We start from the raw sequence: 17,896 nt of genomic DNA on the forward strand, positions 1-17,896 counted from the left end.
TTGGTGGGTCAGAAAGAGAGTATGATGTGAAGGATAAGAGGTTATGAGTGGCAAAGTTCAGAGAGGATAGTTGGAAAGGAGTGTGTGTGTGTGTGTGTGTGTGTGTGTGTGTGTGTGTGTGTGTTGGAATCCAGAGGGCATGATTAGATCTAGGCCTGGGTGTCTCTGATACTAAGATTGGCAGACTAGTGAAACACATGTAGGCAGAAACAGACTAAGCATACAGGTAAATTCAAACTGAACTTAAGGGAACAAGCAGAGGACTTACCAAGATGAGGAGCCCCATACAACACAGTGTCCAGTACCCACGGGAGACACATAGCACCATAACTGCTTGTCAATTTTGAGGTTGGCTCATTTGCTCCCCAGTGGCTGGTGATTTGAGAACTGATCTTCTGTGGGTTCCTTAGAGTTCTAGCATCCATTATTTCCAAGTAGCTTTGTTGATCCTCAATCTTGTTCCTGTGGTGCAACACCTGGATGTCATGGTGGAATCTCATGAAATGCTGATATGACAAAACATATAATTTTGTCCTAGGTCAGATATCATCTTATTCTTTTCTTTTTTTGAGACGGAGTCTCGCTTTGTCACCAGGCTGGAGTGCAGTGGCATGATCTTGGCTCACTGCAACCTCTGCCTCCTGGGTTCAAGTGATTCTCCTGCCTCAGCCTCCTGAGTAGCTGGGACTACAGGTGAGCGCCACCACGCTGAGCTAATTTTTGTATTTTTAGTAGAGACAGGGTTTCACAATGTTGGCCAAGATGGTCTCGATCTCTTGACCTCATGATCCGCCCGCCTTGGCCTCCCAAAGTGCTGTGATTACAGGCATGAGCCACCATGCCTGGCCTCATCTTATTTTTATACAGACATTCAGTAGTATGTGTCAAAGATTTAAGAAGAATTTATGAGATAAAAGCTTAGTAAGGAAAGCTTATCATTATCTTAGCTCTTTGTTCTGTGAAAGTGGGAAAAAAATCATCATCTTTCCATTTTTCATTAGTGGAATGCTTTGATTTAATGTGTATAACCCTGGGGTTCTGTGCAAGCAGATGTTGAGAACACCTGGAGTGGATGGTGCATTCTGTTTTCTTAAAAGTAAACTTTTTAGTGAAATGTAGCATATGATGTATTTATATATTATGTTATAATATTTATTTATTTATTTATTTGAGACAGAGTCTCGCTCTGTCTCCAGGCTGGAGTGCAGTGGTGCGATCTCGGCTCACTGCAACCTCCGCCTCCCGGGTTCAAGTGATTCCCCTGCTTCAGCCTCCCGAGTAGCTGGGACTACAGGCGTGTGCCACCACACCCAGCTAATCTTTGTACTTTTAGATATCCACTATTCAGTCTCTTGCACTATATGGCGCCCAAATCCCTTTTAAGAAAGAACTAATTGCCCAGCTAAAAGGAGTAAGGGTACTTGAGAGCTTCTCACTGTTAACTACTTTGGGTCCACTTCAGCTTTTGAACTGAGGACACTCCTTGTCAAGGCAGCCACAGCCAATGACTGCGCAAGACTTTGTTGCAAGGGCCAGGTCATCTCCACCTACTGCAGAATTCCTCCTATGAGCTGTCTTGACTGTGGAGCTGTTGATGAACTGGCAGAGACTTTGCCCACTCTTTCCAAAGGCCTGACAACTCCTCCTGCCCAGGCCTGTTTCCCCCTTCCCCTTTTTCACAGGTGTTACTCTCCAGTGAAACTTTTGCACTTCTAACTCCATCTCAATCTGCTTCTGACCCAACTGACCGAAAAGTGCCCATATCACAAGGGTACAGCTTGACGAATTTTTATAAACTGAACACATTCATGAAAGCAGCACATTAAGAAGAAGATTAAGCAGCACATTATCAACAGCATCTAAAAGCCCCTTGTGCTGCCTTCCTTACAGTCAACAACTGCTTCCCAAGGCTAACCACTGTCCTAACTCTTAACATCATGGGTTACTTTGTCCTGTTGTTGTAAATCATATAAATGAAATTTTAGGATATCTTTTTTTTTTTTTTTTTTGAGACGGAGTCTTGCTCTGTCACCCAGGCTGGAGTGCAGTGGTACCATCTCGGCTCACTGCAAGCTCTGCCTCCCGCGTTCACGCCATTCTCCTGCCTCAGCCTCCTGAGTAGCTGGGACTACAGGCACATGCCACCACGCCCGGCTAATTTTTTTGTATTTTTAGTAGAGATGGGGTTTCACCATGTTAGCCAGGATGGTCTCGATCTCCTGACCTCGTGATCCACCCGCCTCGGCCTCCCAAAGTGCTGGGATTACAGGTGTGAGCCACCGCACCCGGCCTAAATTTTAGGATATCTTTTGTGTTTGATTGCCTTAGCTCAATATTGTGCATTCTTTTAAATTCCTTTAAATTTGTGGTGTAAGTCTTTAAGTAAATGCTTCCACTTTTTCATCTTTCCACCCCAGAACTCTCTTACACACATACACACACACGCACACACATGCACACACATATGCACACACAGTGCAAACATAATGAATATTTTTCAGTTTGATTTTCAATCTGATGTACAATGCATATGTAAAAATAGTAAAAATCGCATAGGATGTTCAATATACTAAATTAGTTGGAATTGTCAGCGCTTCCATTTGTCTCCTGCTTACCAAGTTTCCCTGGTTTAATTTCCACTAGATCTGAGTTATCGGGGGTAGGTCATCTTTTAATATTATTATGGAGGACAGTGACTGGTTTCAAACAATTACTGATGAATCATCGATAGCTACATCTATATTAAGCAGATCTTTCCTGAGTTTTAATTTAGTCAATTCCCCAGCTCTGCCCTAGAGTAATGAGGATCTTGCTGCACAGTCTTCTTTTTCTCAACTCCAAAGACTTTTCTTCACTTATTAACTGCCTCATGGTTCACTAGTATCTAGAAAATCTCCTATTTCTCAAGCTGCTTGATAGTCTAACATTTCACCCATTAAGCATATGTTTTTAGAGTTTCCCTGCTTTAGCCAGGCACAGTGGCTCATTCCTGTAATTGAGGCTGAGGCTAAGGATCCTTTGAGGCCAAGAGTTTGAGACCAGCCTGGTCTCAATATAGTGAAACTCCTGTCTCTAAAAATATTTTTTTAAAAAATTGGTTGGGCATGATGGTGTGCACCTGTTGTTCCAACTACTCAGGAGGCTGAGGCTGGAGGATCACTTAAGCCCAGGAGTTGGAGGCTGCAGTGAGCTATGATCATGCCACTGCACTCTGTGTCTAAAAATTAAAAAAGAATTTCCCGGCTTTGATTCTTGCTTCCCTACCCAATTTAGGAGGATTCTTGAAAATAATAAAGGGAAACTTAAAGGCATTTCTCGTACTTGAGCACATGCACTTGTGAATCTTATAAACAGTCCTCTGGTAAGAAGGCATCTTTCAAGGTCTTTTCACTTATAGCTGTACTGTTAGTATGATTATTTGCAAACCATTTTCAAAAGAGAACTCTCCATTTATCCCTAGAGAGGGGATCAGCTTACCTCAGATTGCTATGCTTTTGCATTTGACTTTGTTTCAAACTCAAAAACAAAATATTGGTTCAGTATGGTTAGCTTTCTCCTTCTAGCTTTGAAAGCACTCACAAGGAATTATTGGTAGAAAGGTAAATGACACTAGGCTTTTTGCACTCTCAAAAGTAATTTTTTTTCCTTGGTGCAGGGACCTGTCAGTATCATTAACCGGATATAAACTTCTTATTGGCCTTCTTGGGACTCAAATGCTGTACTATTCATCGAGTAAGAGCTTAGTAAACTTGAAGAGAATAAATGAATACATTGATATAAAAGCCTTTTATGTTTAAGTGTTTTTAAATCTAATAGTGATTCTAAAAAAGAGAGGGGTAAATGATGTGTATTTTGCTCTAAGATTTCCAAGGGTTTCTGATTGTATGACGGATACTTAAGAGTAGAGTTTGCTATGAAGCGTATTATTAATGGGTAATTTCTTTGCAATCTGATCTGAGAACAACAATAAAGTTTCATAGCCTTTAGCAGAGTTGTAGTTTAATCAAATATACTTAGAATATAGCGTTTTACTATTTTAGAACTAAAAGTAACTTTAAAAATAATCTGTCGGGTGTGGTGGCTCATGTCTGTAATCCCAGCACTTTGGGAGGCCGAGGCGGGTGGATCATCTGAGGTCAGGAGTTCGAGACCAGCCTGGCCAAAACAGTGAAACCCCATCTCTACTAAAAATAACAAAAATTAGCTGGGTGTGGTGGCAGATGCCTGTAATCCCAGCTACTTGGGAGGCTGAGGCAAGAGAATTTCTTGAACCTGGGAGGCGGCAGTTGCAGGGATCTGAGACCATGCCATTGCACTCCAGCCTCGGCAATAAGAGCCAAACTCCGTCTGAAATAATAATAATCATAATCATCGTCATTATCTAAGCTACCTTCCTTGCTACACCTTTACAGACGGGGAAGTTGAAATAGAGAACTTGGAAATGACTTCTTCTGTTCCCCTGCTGACAGCTCTGGGGCTTTCACTCCATCCCCACATTAAGGACTCTGGCTAGACTGGACCATTGTTCTCCAGAGGTTGTCAGTGTATTGACTACTTATATTACTCTACATGTTCCTGGTAGAGAAATCACTGATATCAAAGGGTAGTTTCATTTACCTCAACATTTAGGGTTATTCTAACCTTTTCCAATGAGCTTCTATTTCAACGTTCATAACATACATTTAAAAATTCATCCAATTGGCTAGGCATGGTGGCTCACGACTATAATCCCAGCACTTTGGGAGGCTGAGGCGGGCGGATCACGAGGTCAAGAGATCGAGACCATCCTGGCCAACATGGTGAAACCCCATCTCTACTAAAAATACAAAAATTAGCTGGGTGTGATGGCATGCACCTGTAGTCCCAGCTACTCAGGAGGCTGAGACAGAAGAATCACTTGAACCCGGGAGGTGGCGGTTGCAGTGAGCCGAGATTGCACCTCTGCACTCCAGCCTGGTGACAGAGTGAGACTCCATCTCAAAAAAAAAAAAAAATTTTCATTCAACCAACATGTCCTGGAGGAACCAGATTTAGGACCTGCCTTCAGGGAGGGCAGTCAAGAGGAGGAGACAACAGTAACGGTGCCGTAGTGAGAACGTGATAATCGAGGTAAGTTAAGGACGGACCCCTAACCCAAACTTGAGAAGGGGATGGTGAAGCTGGGCATAGGGAAGAGCACTCCAAAGAGTGGAGAGAGCATGCCATGCCCAAGAGCCACACCTGTGAGTCTACAAGGAAAAGTGTTTCTAGATTTACTATGAAGAAAAACAAAAGAAATTCTGGGTTGATGTATTTTGTGTGAATAGAGAACTTGATCTAAGGTTAAGAAAACCAGAAAATTCTGATGGTAAGAACACTGAATGGGAAGTCTGGAAAGCCAGCTTCCTCCAGCACCAGCTTCTTCTTGGCTGTGCGGTTAACTGGCTGTATGACCTGGGCAAGTCATGTCACCCCTCTTGGCCCTGGATTCTTCACCCATGAAAGAAGGGATAGGGAGTTATACCCAAAGTCCCTCAGACTCTGGGATCTGCAAATCCTAAGATTCGAGGTAGCTTTATGCACTATGTCTACCACACAGAATATGTATTGAATGAAATTCCTAAGTTCTACCCCATTCTAATCAGAACTAGGTTACAGGTTAATAAAACTGATTTCAAGAGGCATAGGCAATGCAGACTGCCCAGTGACCTCCTTTCCTTTTAGGAAAATACATATGTATAATTGATTGTGTTTCATGCATTTTATTTAGCTATTAAAATAATATTGTAGATAGATATGACTCTTCTCATTTACAGATAACAAGACTGGGGCTCACAGAAGTTAAGTAATTTGCCATCATGACACACATTAAAAGTGGTGGTGGTGGGATTTGAACCTGAGTCTGTGTGAGGCCAACATCTGACTTCTTCCCACTATGCTATTTGAAAGTAAATTTCTGTTAGAGAGAATCCTGACTATGTAGGAAAATACACTGTGAAGATGACTTCCACTTAGGCAAAGGTCATCTTCCGCATCCACCACCAAGCCCCTGACTCATGCTATTTCCTGCCCTGCTCCCCCGTCTTAGTTCTCCAAACTATACCATTCTCTGCTCTAGGAGCCCCAGCTCAGGTTGCTGAGTGAAAAAAAAAGGGAACTAGGGCAAGAACTAGTAGAGTTGATAAAGTTTTCTTCAGAAACCACTTTGTCAACCTGACTGTCTCTGCTTTTGTCTGAAACCAGCATGGAAGCTTCCCACTACTGAGACTAGAAACAGAAATCCCATCCTGTTTCATGAGTTTTCAACCAGAAATATCACCCGGCATGCGTTTCTCTCTTCTACCTTTTCTCCCTGGTCTGTCAAAGCCCCTTTCCTGGTCACAGGTATTGCTTGACAGATGGGCCTGTTAGCAGGCCCTCACTGGCCTCTGATTTACAAAACTTGTTTAGTTGCAAGCAACACTGATCTATTCAAGTAAGCTCAGGAAAGATAGTTTACATGAGGATTAATGTGAATGTTCGCAGAATCCCAAGAGCATAGTGGAAACAGGGCCAGAACTCAAAGTCCAGAACGGGAGGGTGTTTCTGGATCTAAGGTGGTCCCAATGGCCCAAGGACTGGGAGTTTATGGATCTTTACTCTGGTGTTCCACCAGTGGTATGACTCAGCAACCTGGGTATCTGTTCTTCTTTGTCTCTGATTGAAACTAGCTACAATGCACTTATTCTAATTTTTTTTTTTTTTTAGACAGAGTCTCACTCTGTCGCCCAGGCTGGAGTGCTATGGTGCAATCTTGGCTCACTGCAACCTCCGCCTCCCGGGTTCAAGTGATTCTCCTGCCTCAGCCTCCTAAGTAGCTGGGACTACAAGCAGGTGCCACCACATCCAGCTAATGTTTGTATTTTTTAGTAGAGATGGGATTTCACCATCTTGGCCAGGCTGGTCTTGAACTCCTGACCTCACGATCCACCCGCCTCGGCCTCCCAAAGTGCTGGGATTACAGACGTGAGCCACCACACCCGGCAATGCACTTATTCTTTTTAAAATCTACTTTATCCTTTAAAAATTCATACTTTTTTGGCCGGGAGCGGTGGTTCATGCCTGTAATCCCAGAACTTTGGGAGGCTGAGGTGGGCGGATCACCTGAAGTTGGGAGTTTGAGACCAGCCTGACCAACATGGAGAAACCCTGTCTCTACTGAAAATACAAAATTAGCTGGGCGTGGTGGCACATGCCTGTAATCCCAGCTACTTGGGAGGCTGAGGCAGGAGAATCGCTTGAACCCAGGGGGCTGAGGTTGCAGTGAGCTGAGATTGCACCATTGCACTCCAGCCTGGGCAACAAGAGCGAAATTCCATCTCAAAAAAAAAAAATTTCATACTTTTTGCTTAATCATAATTTCAGTTTGCCAAGATCCCTCACAGCCCCTTCTCTCCCTCCCCTCATAACCCTAACACTGCCTCAAGGCTTCTGTTTATGCATCCTTTGAGTTTCTACTCCTCCTGTTAATTTCCTATATTTCTACATGTTTCCAAAATAAAATTCCCAAAGAATTGTCCCAGATTATCCTTCATGCAAACAATGTTAATTGCCCCCAGACTCCAAGTATGCACAGATCAAGGTTGGATGCTGACTCAGGGTAGACCATTTATTGGCTACTTATGTCATAGCCTGGAATGAAAATAGGAGTCGGGCCATCAGCTGGAGAGGAATTGACTCCAACTAGATAGGTCTTGGCATCATCACTGACCTCCTTTGTATGACTACTATTGACCCATTTGGAGCAGCTTTATCACAATGTGAAACCTGCCGCTCACTAGTTCTGCTAGATGCATGTTGGAAGCACTGACTCAGGTTAATCCAACCTGTACAAGTTTCTGAGGCAGGTCTTCTTGGAGCCTTCAGTATGGTAAAGTGTATTCTAAATTAGCAAGCAGAGGATAAGGAATGCGGTGTGTTTCGCTCTATGTAGCAGATGCTGTCAGCACCACATCCATGTCCTCTCAGCACATACCTGTACACTTTGAAGGCTGCTTTCTATGAACACCTGCAATTCTTTGCCTGAAGCCTTTTTTTTTTTCTTTTTCAGGGTGGTGGTGGGGGCCGATGGGAGTCCACTCAACCTGTTAACAGGTAAGCTGAAAGAACAAGACAGTTAATGTCCCTCACCTCAAAAGCAGTGTTCAACCAAAGATGGACAGGCAGGTGGCAGATAAGTTTCCCAGTTGCCTCTCAGATAGGAAACTGAAGCATGTTCCCCGATGCTTTCCAGAGTTCCCCAGGAGGGCAGAATTCCTCCTACGAGCTGTCTTCACTGTGGAGCTGTCAATGAGCTGGCAGAGACTTTGCCCGCTCTGCCCGATGGTCTGACAGTTCTTCCTCTCCAGGCCTGCTTCCCACTTCTCCTCTTTCACAGGTGTTACTCTCCAGTGGAACTTTGACACTTCTAACTCCATCTCAATCTGCTTCTGACCCAACTGACCGAAAAGTGCCTATATCACAAAAATTAGGGCTGAGTTCCTGCTGCTGGGAGTGGAAACTGACTTGGTCAAACTCCTCATACTGGCTACCTTCCCCTCCTGGCCTCACTTCCCCACTCTTTTATTGGTGTTTCCCGGAATCGCCTCCTAAACTATTTGCACTTCAATCTTTGACTCAGGCCCGATTTCTAGGGAAACCCACACCAAGACCCTCCCTTTATTGTGGGTGGTGGGGGGAGTGGGGGGGAGGTGAGCACATCTTTTAACATCTAACAGGCCCGGAGAAATATTGACCTAGTGTACACAGGAGCTAGGGAAAACTACCTTTATCTCAAACTAGTTAAATTTCCTGAGACTTGTTGACGATAAAATGGAGAGCACACGCATTCCTGATTCAAGGTGTTCTTCATTGATAGCATTCCCACACATATAAGGATATGTGGATCTCAGACGTGTAACCACTCCATTTTGGTTTTACCTCTTTGTTACTCTCTCCCTGAAATATGGTTTACATTGCATCCTTTTATATTACTGTATTTCACAAGGAAGACATAGTAGAACATTTTTCTCAGCATGACTGTAAATCCTAATTGTTTTTGAGCCTGGCTCATCTTAGGTGTCATTGTGGGGACTCCATGAGTTACCACAAACATCTTTGTGATGTTAATAGATGATACAGCTTGATATGTCAGTATAAGAATTTTCTCCATCATAAGATTTAGAATTAAAAGGGGTTTTCAAGACTATATATATTATCCAAGCTTTCAACTAATAGGTTTCTAACCATTTTATTATGCTGATCTCCAGATTTATAATCATGTATTGTTATTAATTTATGAGATGATTTTATGTATGGTCTTTCAGGTGCTTTTTATTTGTGAAAATAAAAATAAGTATATTTTTAGGAAAGCTGGAGCACCTAATGGATATAATAATATCCTACAGTTGTTAGGCAATTTAAGATCTTTTCAGCTGATTGTAGCATAACTTTAAATGGCCTTAAATTGAGATACGTATCCAACTTGTTCACCTGGACAAATTTTCTGTTAGATGCTTGGCTGTAAGTAGCAGGAAACTCCAACTCAACTGTTTTAAACAATAAGGGAATTTTCTTTTCTTCTGTAACAAGAAGTCCCGGGGCATGGTGGCTCTAGGGTTGATTAATCCATCAGCTTTTCATCAGGGACCTGGCTTCCCACCATCTCTGTCATTCTCAGTGGATCAGCTTCTTCCTGAGGCTAGCTCTTCTCATGGTCATGAGATGATGCTACTCATTAAAAGAAGAGGGAGGGTCAGCTGGGCGCAATGGCTCACGCCTGTAATCCCAGCACTTTGGGAGGCTGAGGCAGGCGGATCACTTAAGGTCAGGAGTTCAAGACCAGCCTGGCCAACCTGGTGAAACCCCATCTCTCCTAAAAATAGAAAAAATAGTTGGGCATGGTGGCGTGTGCCTGTAATCCCAGCTACTCGGGAGGCTGAGGCAGGAGAATCACTTGAACCTGGGAGGCGGAGGTTGTAGTGAGCCAAGATCATGCCGCTGCACTCCAGCCTGGGCAACAGAGCAAGACTCCGTCTCAAAAAAAAAAAAAAAAAAAAAGAAGAAGAAGAAGAAGAAGAGGGAATGTTTCGTAATGTGCTTCTCTTTAAAACTAAGGAAACTTTCCTGAGAAGGCCTCTGGTAGTCTCTCTTGCATTTCACTGGCCAGAATTGTGTTGCAGCCTCCTTCCTAAACCAGTCACTGATAGAAGACAGCATTACCTTGCTTAGCTTGGTCTATTCAGGCTTTACTATGAATGACATAGAGAAAGGGAGGTCTCCAAACAAAATCAGGGCTCTCTCAGGAAAGAAAGGCAGAGGGGATAACTATTGGGCAGACCACCAGTCAGGTTAGCTTCCATCGCCCACACTGTTTGTCTTGGGATAACCAGAGTAAACGAGCAGCGGCTCTTAAAACACTTTCTGTAATGTCTAAAGAAACACAACCCATAAAAGGTTTAGCAATGACAAACTACTGTGTTATGACTTTAAAATGGTTACTGAGCATCACGCAGTGTTCAACATTGCTACTGTGAAGTTTGGTATGGTAAGGAGAGAGGCAGATTTGGAGAGAGAAGACCTAAATGTGTTCCTGGACTTCAACGATTACCTGTTTGACCTTAAGTAATGAATCAGCTTTTCTGGATCTTAGTTTTATCATCTGTAAAATAGAGATTTGTCTACCTCAGAATTTGCTGTGAGGATTCAATACAATGTGATGCAAAGGAAAGTGCGTTGTAAATTACTAAGTGGTTCATACATGAGGGAGATTTAATTAAATTAATGAATTTTAATTGGTAAATAAAAGTTGTATGCATTTATGGTGTGCAACATGACATTCAAAATATGTATACATTGTGGAATGGCTAAATCAAGCCGATTAACATATCCATGGCTTCACATACTTATTTATTTGTGGTGAGAACACTTAAAATCTATTCTCTTTCCAATTTTCAAGTGTATAGTACATTGTTATTAACTATAGTCACCCTGTGGTATAGAGATGTTTTGAAAGAGGAGCAATAATGTGCCATTTATCCAAGCAAAAATCTCCACACCAGTCTTGGCAGTAGACCTGCAGAGGCTCTAAGGGAAAACAGCTGGAAGGATTACAGCTAATGAGCAGGCTTTTCAATGAAACAAAGCTGATTTAGTAACAACCCAAACAAAGTTAGTCTCTTCAGGCATTTTTTTTTTAAGTTAATAAGTTCAGGAGGGAGTTTAGATGTGCAAATGTGGTTACCTGGGCTTAAAGGTGATCAGGTGAACAGGAGTATATTGGTTCTAATTAAGGAGCACTTGACTTGTATTTTAACATAGTTAAAGCTGAAATCCAAAGCGCTTCATTTCTACAGCAGGCTTGCCTCTTCATTATAGCAAAATCTTCACTCAGTTCTGTTACCTCATTAGAAAGCTTAGTCATCTATACAACATTCTCACTCACTCACACCTGCATATTTCCTATACCTCCAAATGGCCTACCAGGAAAATATCTTTTTTCCTAATTAATAAGTTACTGTGATCTCAGTTTCTCTTCCCACGCCCTCAGCACTTCAGAGCTTGAATTATTCATTTCCAGCCTCAGTGCTGGGCTCCAGCTGCTCATATTGAAGAAGGCTCTGTTGACCTTGAGCTTGAGAATTTGTATGTGTTATAATACAGATGTCATTAAAATATAAAATTTACCTGCTGAGAACAACATTATACTATTTATGAAACCATATAATTTCAATAACTAAACTCAGCAAGATTTTATTGCTCTTTCCACCTGCAATCACAGAAGTGCTGACTCATCACTTGAGAACCACAGCTCACCAATGCGCAGCTTCACTAAAAATCTGCAATGAGTCTTATTTTTTCATCATCTCTATGTAACCTTTTTTTTTGTGGCAGTTATACAGCCCCCTTCTAAAAGGTTATAATTAATTAAAGGCTCAAATTAACACCAGGAAAACTTTCATGTCACAAAATCTTCAGTGCCTCCGTGGTTAGAAAGAGCTATATTTTTAATACCATGATGATAAATTAAAATTCAGGAATGTCTTTAAAATTTTTTATAGGTATTTTAACAGTCAATTTCACCTTCTCTGAAGATAGACTAAAAGGAGCCTTCTTTGATGTACTGAATTTCCTTATCTCCCACTCTGGCTTATTTATTTTACTTTATGTTATATACAGATACACACACATGCACAATTTTCTTCGAGATATCAGTCCTTTTTGATCAGAATGCTTAAGTAATTTTGTAATTCTCTTAAGGGTCTTTAGACATAGTCATATGACCATTTATAGTGCATTTCATCTTGATCCCCTCCTCCCAAAAATTGAGGGGAAATAAAGGCTTGCCTCATGGAAATGGACAAATAATTTACCCAATTCCATTTTCACTTTGAACCACAGTTGATATCAATATAGTTAAAAGTGAGATGAAGGTATGAGAACAGCAGAAAACATTAATTGTACGTACACGGGATACCGCTCTGTTTATGTGTCACCAACAATTGCAGAAGCATGGCAATGGCCTGTGAAGTGTCCTCCCGACTCCAACTGTGGTACGAGTGTGTGCACAGAAAGTGAACATTCTTAGAATTCACAATCGCTAATGCCATTCTTATCTGTAGAAGTATTACATCATTTACACATTTTTACTAAGCTGTTAGCCTCAATCATGCCCCGAAGCAGTTATTTCCACAGGTTAATGATGTATTATATAAAGAACGATTTCCTTTTTATTCTTGGAGGATTTGCCTTTTAATTTCATTTAGCAACCATTTTGTCTTACATGATGGAATGTTGTAGGCTTAAATTAACTCTCCAAAGATTGAAAAAAATCGATGTCTGTTAGCTGCGCTTTGAACTATACTTAAACCTTACAAATGGAATTTTCTATTTTCTTTTAAAGGGGAGGATTATAAAGAATATTTGATTATTTTGGTAAAAACAGGCTTCCCTTAGTAAAAGAGATAGTATGTTATGAATGACGTTTATAACCTAATATTATTTAGATAAGGTGGAAAAAAAGCCCCCCCAAACCCAGCAGGACCTCAATGATGGAAGCAAATCTGGAAAATAAGGAAATCTGATAAAACATAAGCCCACCATTTTTGCCTTGTGGTGTGGGTGTTGTCCTTACCTGCTGGAAAACACTGGCAAGTCTGTTCAGTGAGAGGCAGCCGAAGAAGGCTAGCAAATAGATTTATTAATCATTTCAGGAAAAATGAAGAATGCCTTTAAAGACAACACCCTCTTCTTGGCTTCACAGAATCTTTTTAGGTTTTACTGTTAATAAGATTAAACAGGAGATGAGCAGTAAAGATATTGAAGCAGAGTTTTTTTTATAAGAAAAAGTACACATTAAGAATCGGGCTCCCCCACCACTTAGCTCAGCACTGTGTCCACATTCTTCTATTCAGATTTTTTTATTGCTGTTTGCTTAGGGGAAAAAGTCCCTGTTGAAAGAATGCGGGCCGGAGTACATTAGTCACCTTTCCAGTGCTGTTTCTGTGGGACGGGGCCACGTATCCCTCCCAACTCTGTAAGTTCTCTGCTAGTCAGGGCTGGAGACTGCTGCTGGCAGAAACCCAATCTTCTCCTTGCAAATAAAGGAGCCATCTGACAACGCTGTATTTGTTGGGGCCTCTTCTGAACCAATCAGAGACTGCCCTTGACCGACGGGAGGAGGAGAAGTTTATAATAGGATCAGTTTTGTTTGCAATTTGTTTCTAATAGATGCCAATAAGCCAGTTAACTAGGCTCCGGTTAATGGACATTTTATTGTTCCCCCCCTCCCGCCATGGTGCACATGACCTTTCCTTAGAAGCATTTGTGATGCCTGAAAACATGTATCTGCTGCCTGGTAGCCAGAGGGCTTGCTCTGCTCTAGAAAACTTGTTCCCTAGCCCCGAGCTGCAGACCAGACCCAAATACTTTGATCATTCTGTCAGTGGGAAATTTAGAGCAACATTCGGGCTTTTGTTCCATGTGTATTTCTCCAAATGTAATATCTCCCTCAAGAAATCAATGATAAGCTGTTAAACTAAAGAGCATGGTAACATCCACAGAGCAGTAAATTAATGGTCTTTCGTGGATAGATGGTTACAGATTTCATCATAAAAAATGGATAAAAGATTACATATCACACAGAGCGAAACTTTTAATAACTCAACATGACTTTTCTTAATGGGTTTTATTCATTTTAATCATTATAGTGTCAATGATGATTATAGCCTTATTAGATTGTAGTGATTGAAGGGCCTGTTTATGAGATATTGAAAATCTCAGCCTGCTCAGAATAGCCTGGCGGCCTGTGTGGGTTTGATGTGTAACTTTATCTGAAGGAGCAGGGCTTGTCAGGAGACTTTCAATTAATACTTTTACTAAATTGCTCCTGTCTTTAGTGACCTAGGTCACAGATGACTTAGGGATTCCACAACATCAGCTTTCCCAAACAGTTGGGCTACAGCAGTGTAAATCAAAAGAGGTTGTGAGTGTGTGTGTTTAAACGAAGGTAGGACTAGGAAAGGCCTCAAGTGAAGTGGCTTGAGTCCTTCTGTCTCACTTCGCAGCCAGGAGAGTCCTCTTTCTGCCTTACGATGCCTCACGAGAAAGGAGTTCTAATAACGGGATAAAAAGTTGGCCTCAAGAATCTGGAAGTTTCTCCGTTTTTCCCTCCATGTCTGGGCACATGATTAAAATAAAAATCAAGACTCCATTCATGATTAATAAGGTGCTATTTCAGAGAAATGCCCCAAAACCCAGTCATCCTAAAAAAGTTATTATAATAAAGGTGTCAATGTTCCTAAATTCAAAATAATAATAATAATAAAACCTACAGATGAATACCTTCAGTGGGACCAAGATTATAATGCCATCTATTTGATATCCTGATTTAGTATTGATTCTTTAGAATATCTATTTCCATTACAAATAAGTGTCACCTAAAAGTTATTCCAAATGTTTCACTATAATGGATGTCATCTGTAATAGGCCTTTGAGAAGCAGTGTGGTGTGTCATGGTGTTACAGGAGACCTGGGTATAAATTTGGGCTACTTCCTTTACCAGCAGTATGTTTTGGGACAGGTGACTTGAATTGTCATAGCCTCCATTTCTTCATCAGTAGAAATGGGAATAATGATAATACCCATTTTACCTGTCTCCTTTGTAGGGTGACTAACAGAATCAAATGAGTTCACATTTGTGCTGAAAAAACTCTGTTTTCAAGTGAATCTTTAGAATGTCACTAAGATCCAGGAGCCAGGTGATGTGGCTTTTAAAAATACAGGGTTCAGTGTTAGATAGAAAATATCAAGTGATTTGATGAAAATCTGGAAAAGTCAAATTCAATTGAAGTCTAAGTGATTAGGTCCCAAATATTTGAGAATAGAATAATAAAAGTCAAAAGGAATCTAGCAGAGCTTTTTTTTTTTTTTTTGCTTTTTTAGTAGGGAGAAGTGGATATTTGAATGTAAAAAGATAGTGCAAGCCAGTAGGAATGGCTTGGGAAATGCCATACTGTATGGACAAGTGGTCTGTCTCCGTCTGTCAGATGGGCATAGCTGAGAATCAATCTCAGTCCAGACCTTAGCACAGGAGAAGGGAGATAATCACGGGTGGGGGAAGCCCTGGAATTCAGAAGGGAAGAGAAAGGGAAAGAAATGGGGGTAGAGGAAGGACAGTGGCTTACGCCCAAGCTGGAGAAAACGCACAAAATTAAAGGGAACCAAGGGTTGGAGAGGGGGGCAGCTGGTAAGTGGGAACTGAATGGAGTCCATCTATGACAAGGAAGCACACAGCAGGGAGGAGGTGCGGTAGGGAAAGAACATGACCATGACCTTGGGATCCCACAACCCTGGTCCAGTCTTTTTCTACCACCCTCACGATGGCCCCCCAGCTGCCAGCCCCACTCAGTATCCACTCACCACTAAGGACATGCCCTGTGGAGTCAGTCACATTTATATCTGCTTGGGGTAGATATAATCTATGGAGTGGTTGCAGATACTCAGATAATCTCAAAATTTAATTCCCTCGGTCCACAGACTTCTATTCTTGATCTACACACTCTCCCTGGGATAGTCAAGGCTAAGCTTCTCTACACAGCCTTTCAGTCCCCCAACTTTCTCCCTGGGTCCAGACATAACTTTCTAACTGCCTTGCTGGTCATCTTTGCTTAGACATATCCTGAACCTACCTTGTTCTCATCAAACCTGTTCCTCCTCCTGAGTTCCATACCTTGGTTAATTACACATCCACTGGCCCAGGTCACCAATTTTTGAGTCATCTTCCACTCTGTGTGCTTTACTCCCCAAATCCAATCAATCACTAAGCCCTGTCAATTCTAATTCCTTAGTGCGCTGGTTTTAAAATATATCCACAAATTCTTTGACCCTTCTCCTATTGATAGGTGCGTCTGTATTTCTTCCCCTGGAAACTAGACTTTTATGACTGTTTTGACTAATAGAATTTGGCGAAAGTGAAACCATGTAACTTCCAAGAGGCGACTTAGCCTCCACCTTGCTCCTTGGAACGCTTGTGCCTTGGAGCCACGAGGCTTCCATGTTGTAGAGAAGCCCAAACCAGCACATGTGGTGAAACCACATAGAGAGGCCCCGGGACTACATGAAGAGAGAGAGATGGTTGGCTAGGTCCCAGCTACTCTGCCCCTCTGCTGACTACCTGGCTTCAACCATCATTTGACTACTACTATGATAGACCCTGCCTAGAAAACCACCTAACTGAATGGTCCCCAAGTTTCTGACCACAGAGATAATGAGATATGATAAAATGATGGTTAATTGTTTTAAGCTACTAAGTTCTGGGGAAAATGTAACATAGCAAAAGTAACTGGAACATTTACCATCCATCCCCTTTTCACTACCACCTTAGGTTGGGCCCTCATCAGCTTGCCCAGCCAGTGGCTGGCACACAGGAGGCCCAATCAGTGCTCTGGCTGAATGAAAGTCAACTTTATGACAGCAGGCTTTGCGGACGAGATTAGGACCTTAAATCTAGTTAGGTTAGAATTTTGTGGCAATAGATTTCTCCCTGCTGTTATAAAACTGCCGATGTGACCCAGATGAATTCGAGAACTAGCATGAGATCCATGCCTCCCTCAGAAATAAAACATGAAAGGGAAGAGAAAAGATTTAAAAATAAGCATTATCAAGTGCTGTAAGTGATTGGTTTAGAGTTGGTGCAGATCTTTTTCTTTTTTTCACCAAAATTTATTCTGTCTTGTTAGTTGAAATCAATTCAGTCATTTGAGTCTTTTTCCCAAAAGGGCAAAACAAAGATTGTCTTATGTTTTTCTTTTCATGACTGGATGTTACCCAGTTTTAGTTGGAGACATTTTGGTTTTAACTTCTCTTAATCCTTGGACAACACTAAAATGATCCAGAGAGATTCTGATTTATACATTCAGTGAGAAACAGCCTTCCAATTCTTATAGCCTTTTAAATGTTCCATTTTTCAATTTTATCTATTGGAATGCAAAATTTCAGCCCTTTTATAAATTGCCTATTAATATTTAATTTCTTACATCATTGTATTGTTACCAGATAACCACAATTGCTACATGGAACAGTAACAGAAGATGCATTAACTATCAATTGAGGAGGACACAAATAGATAGCAAAGCTAATATACATGAAAAACAGTCTGTCAAGCAACGTCGGCCTCAATGAGCATGAATTTACAGTCGCGTACAGTAGCCACAATGATTCTCATTGTTGATTCATCCTCTGATTACTCTGTTTGCACCACAGACAAAATAGTCTAAATGAACACCAGGATAATAAGTGAACTATCTATCATCTCTTTTATTTTTATTCCAAGCTAGGAGAATTGGCAGAAAGAGAACAGTAAATGGAGATTCCTGCTGGTTCTGTGTCATAGGACCCTTTT

At 41.5% G+C, this 17,896-nt stretch overlaps 1 long non-coding RNA gene across 1 annotated transcript; it reads right to left on the reverse strand.

Annotated features, from left to right (window-relative positions):
* Positions 1–274: 274 nt before the first annotated feature.
* On the reverse strand, positions 275–13,190 carry LOC107986733 (uncharacterized). Its single transcript, XR_001745009.1, has 3 exons — positions 13,130–13,190; positions 7,994–8,117; positions 275–462 (listed from the first exon to the last, which is right to left on the reverse strand). It is a non-coding gene; the product is annotated as an uncharacterized LOC107986733 (long non-coding RNA).
* Between the last annotated feature and the right edge of the window lie 4,706 nt (positions 13,191–17,896).

Source organism: Homo sapiens, chromosome 7 (assembly GCF_000001405.40).
Source record: "Homo sapiens chromosome 7, GRCh38.p14 Primary Assembly".
Taxonomy (NCBI): domain Eukaryota; kingdom Metazoa; phylum Chordata; class Mammalia; order Primates; family Hominidae; genus Homo; species Homo sapiens.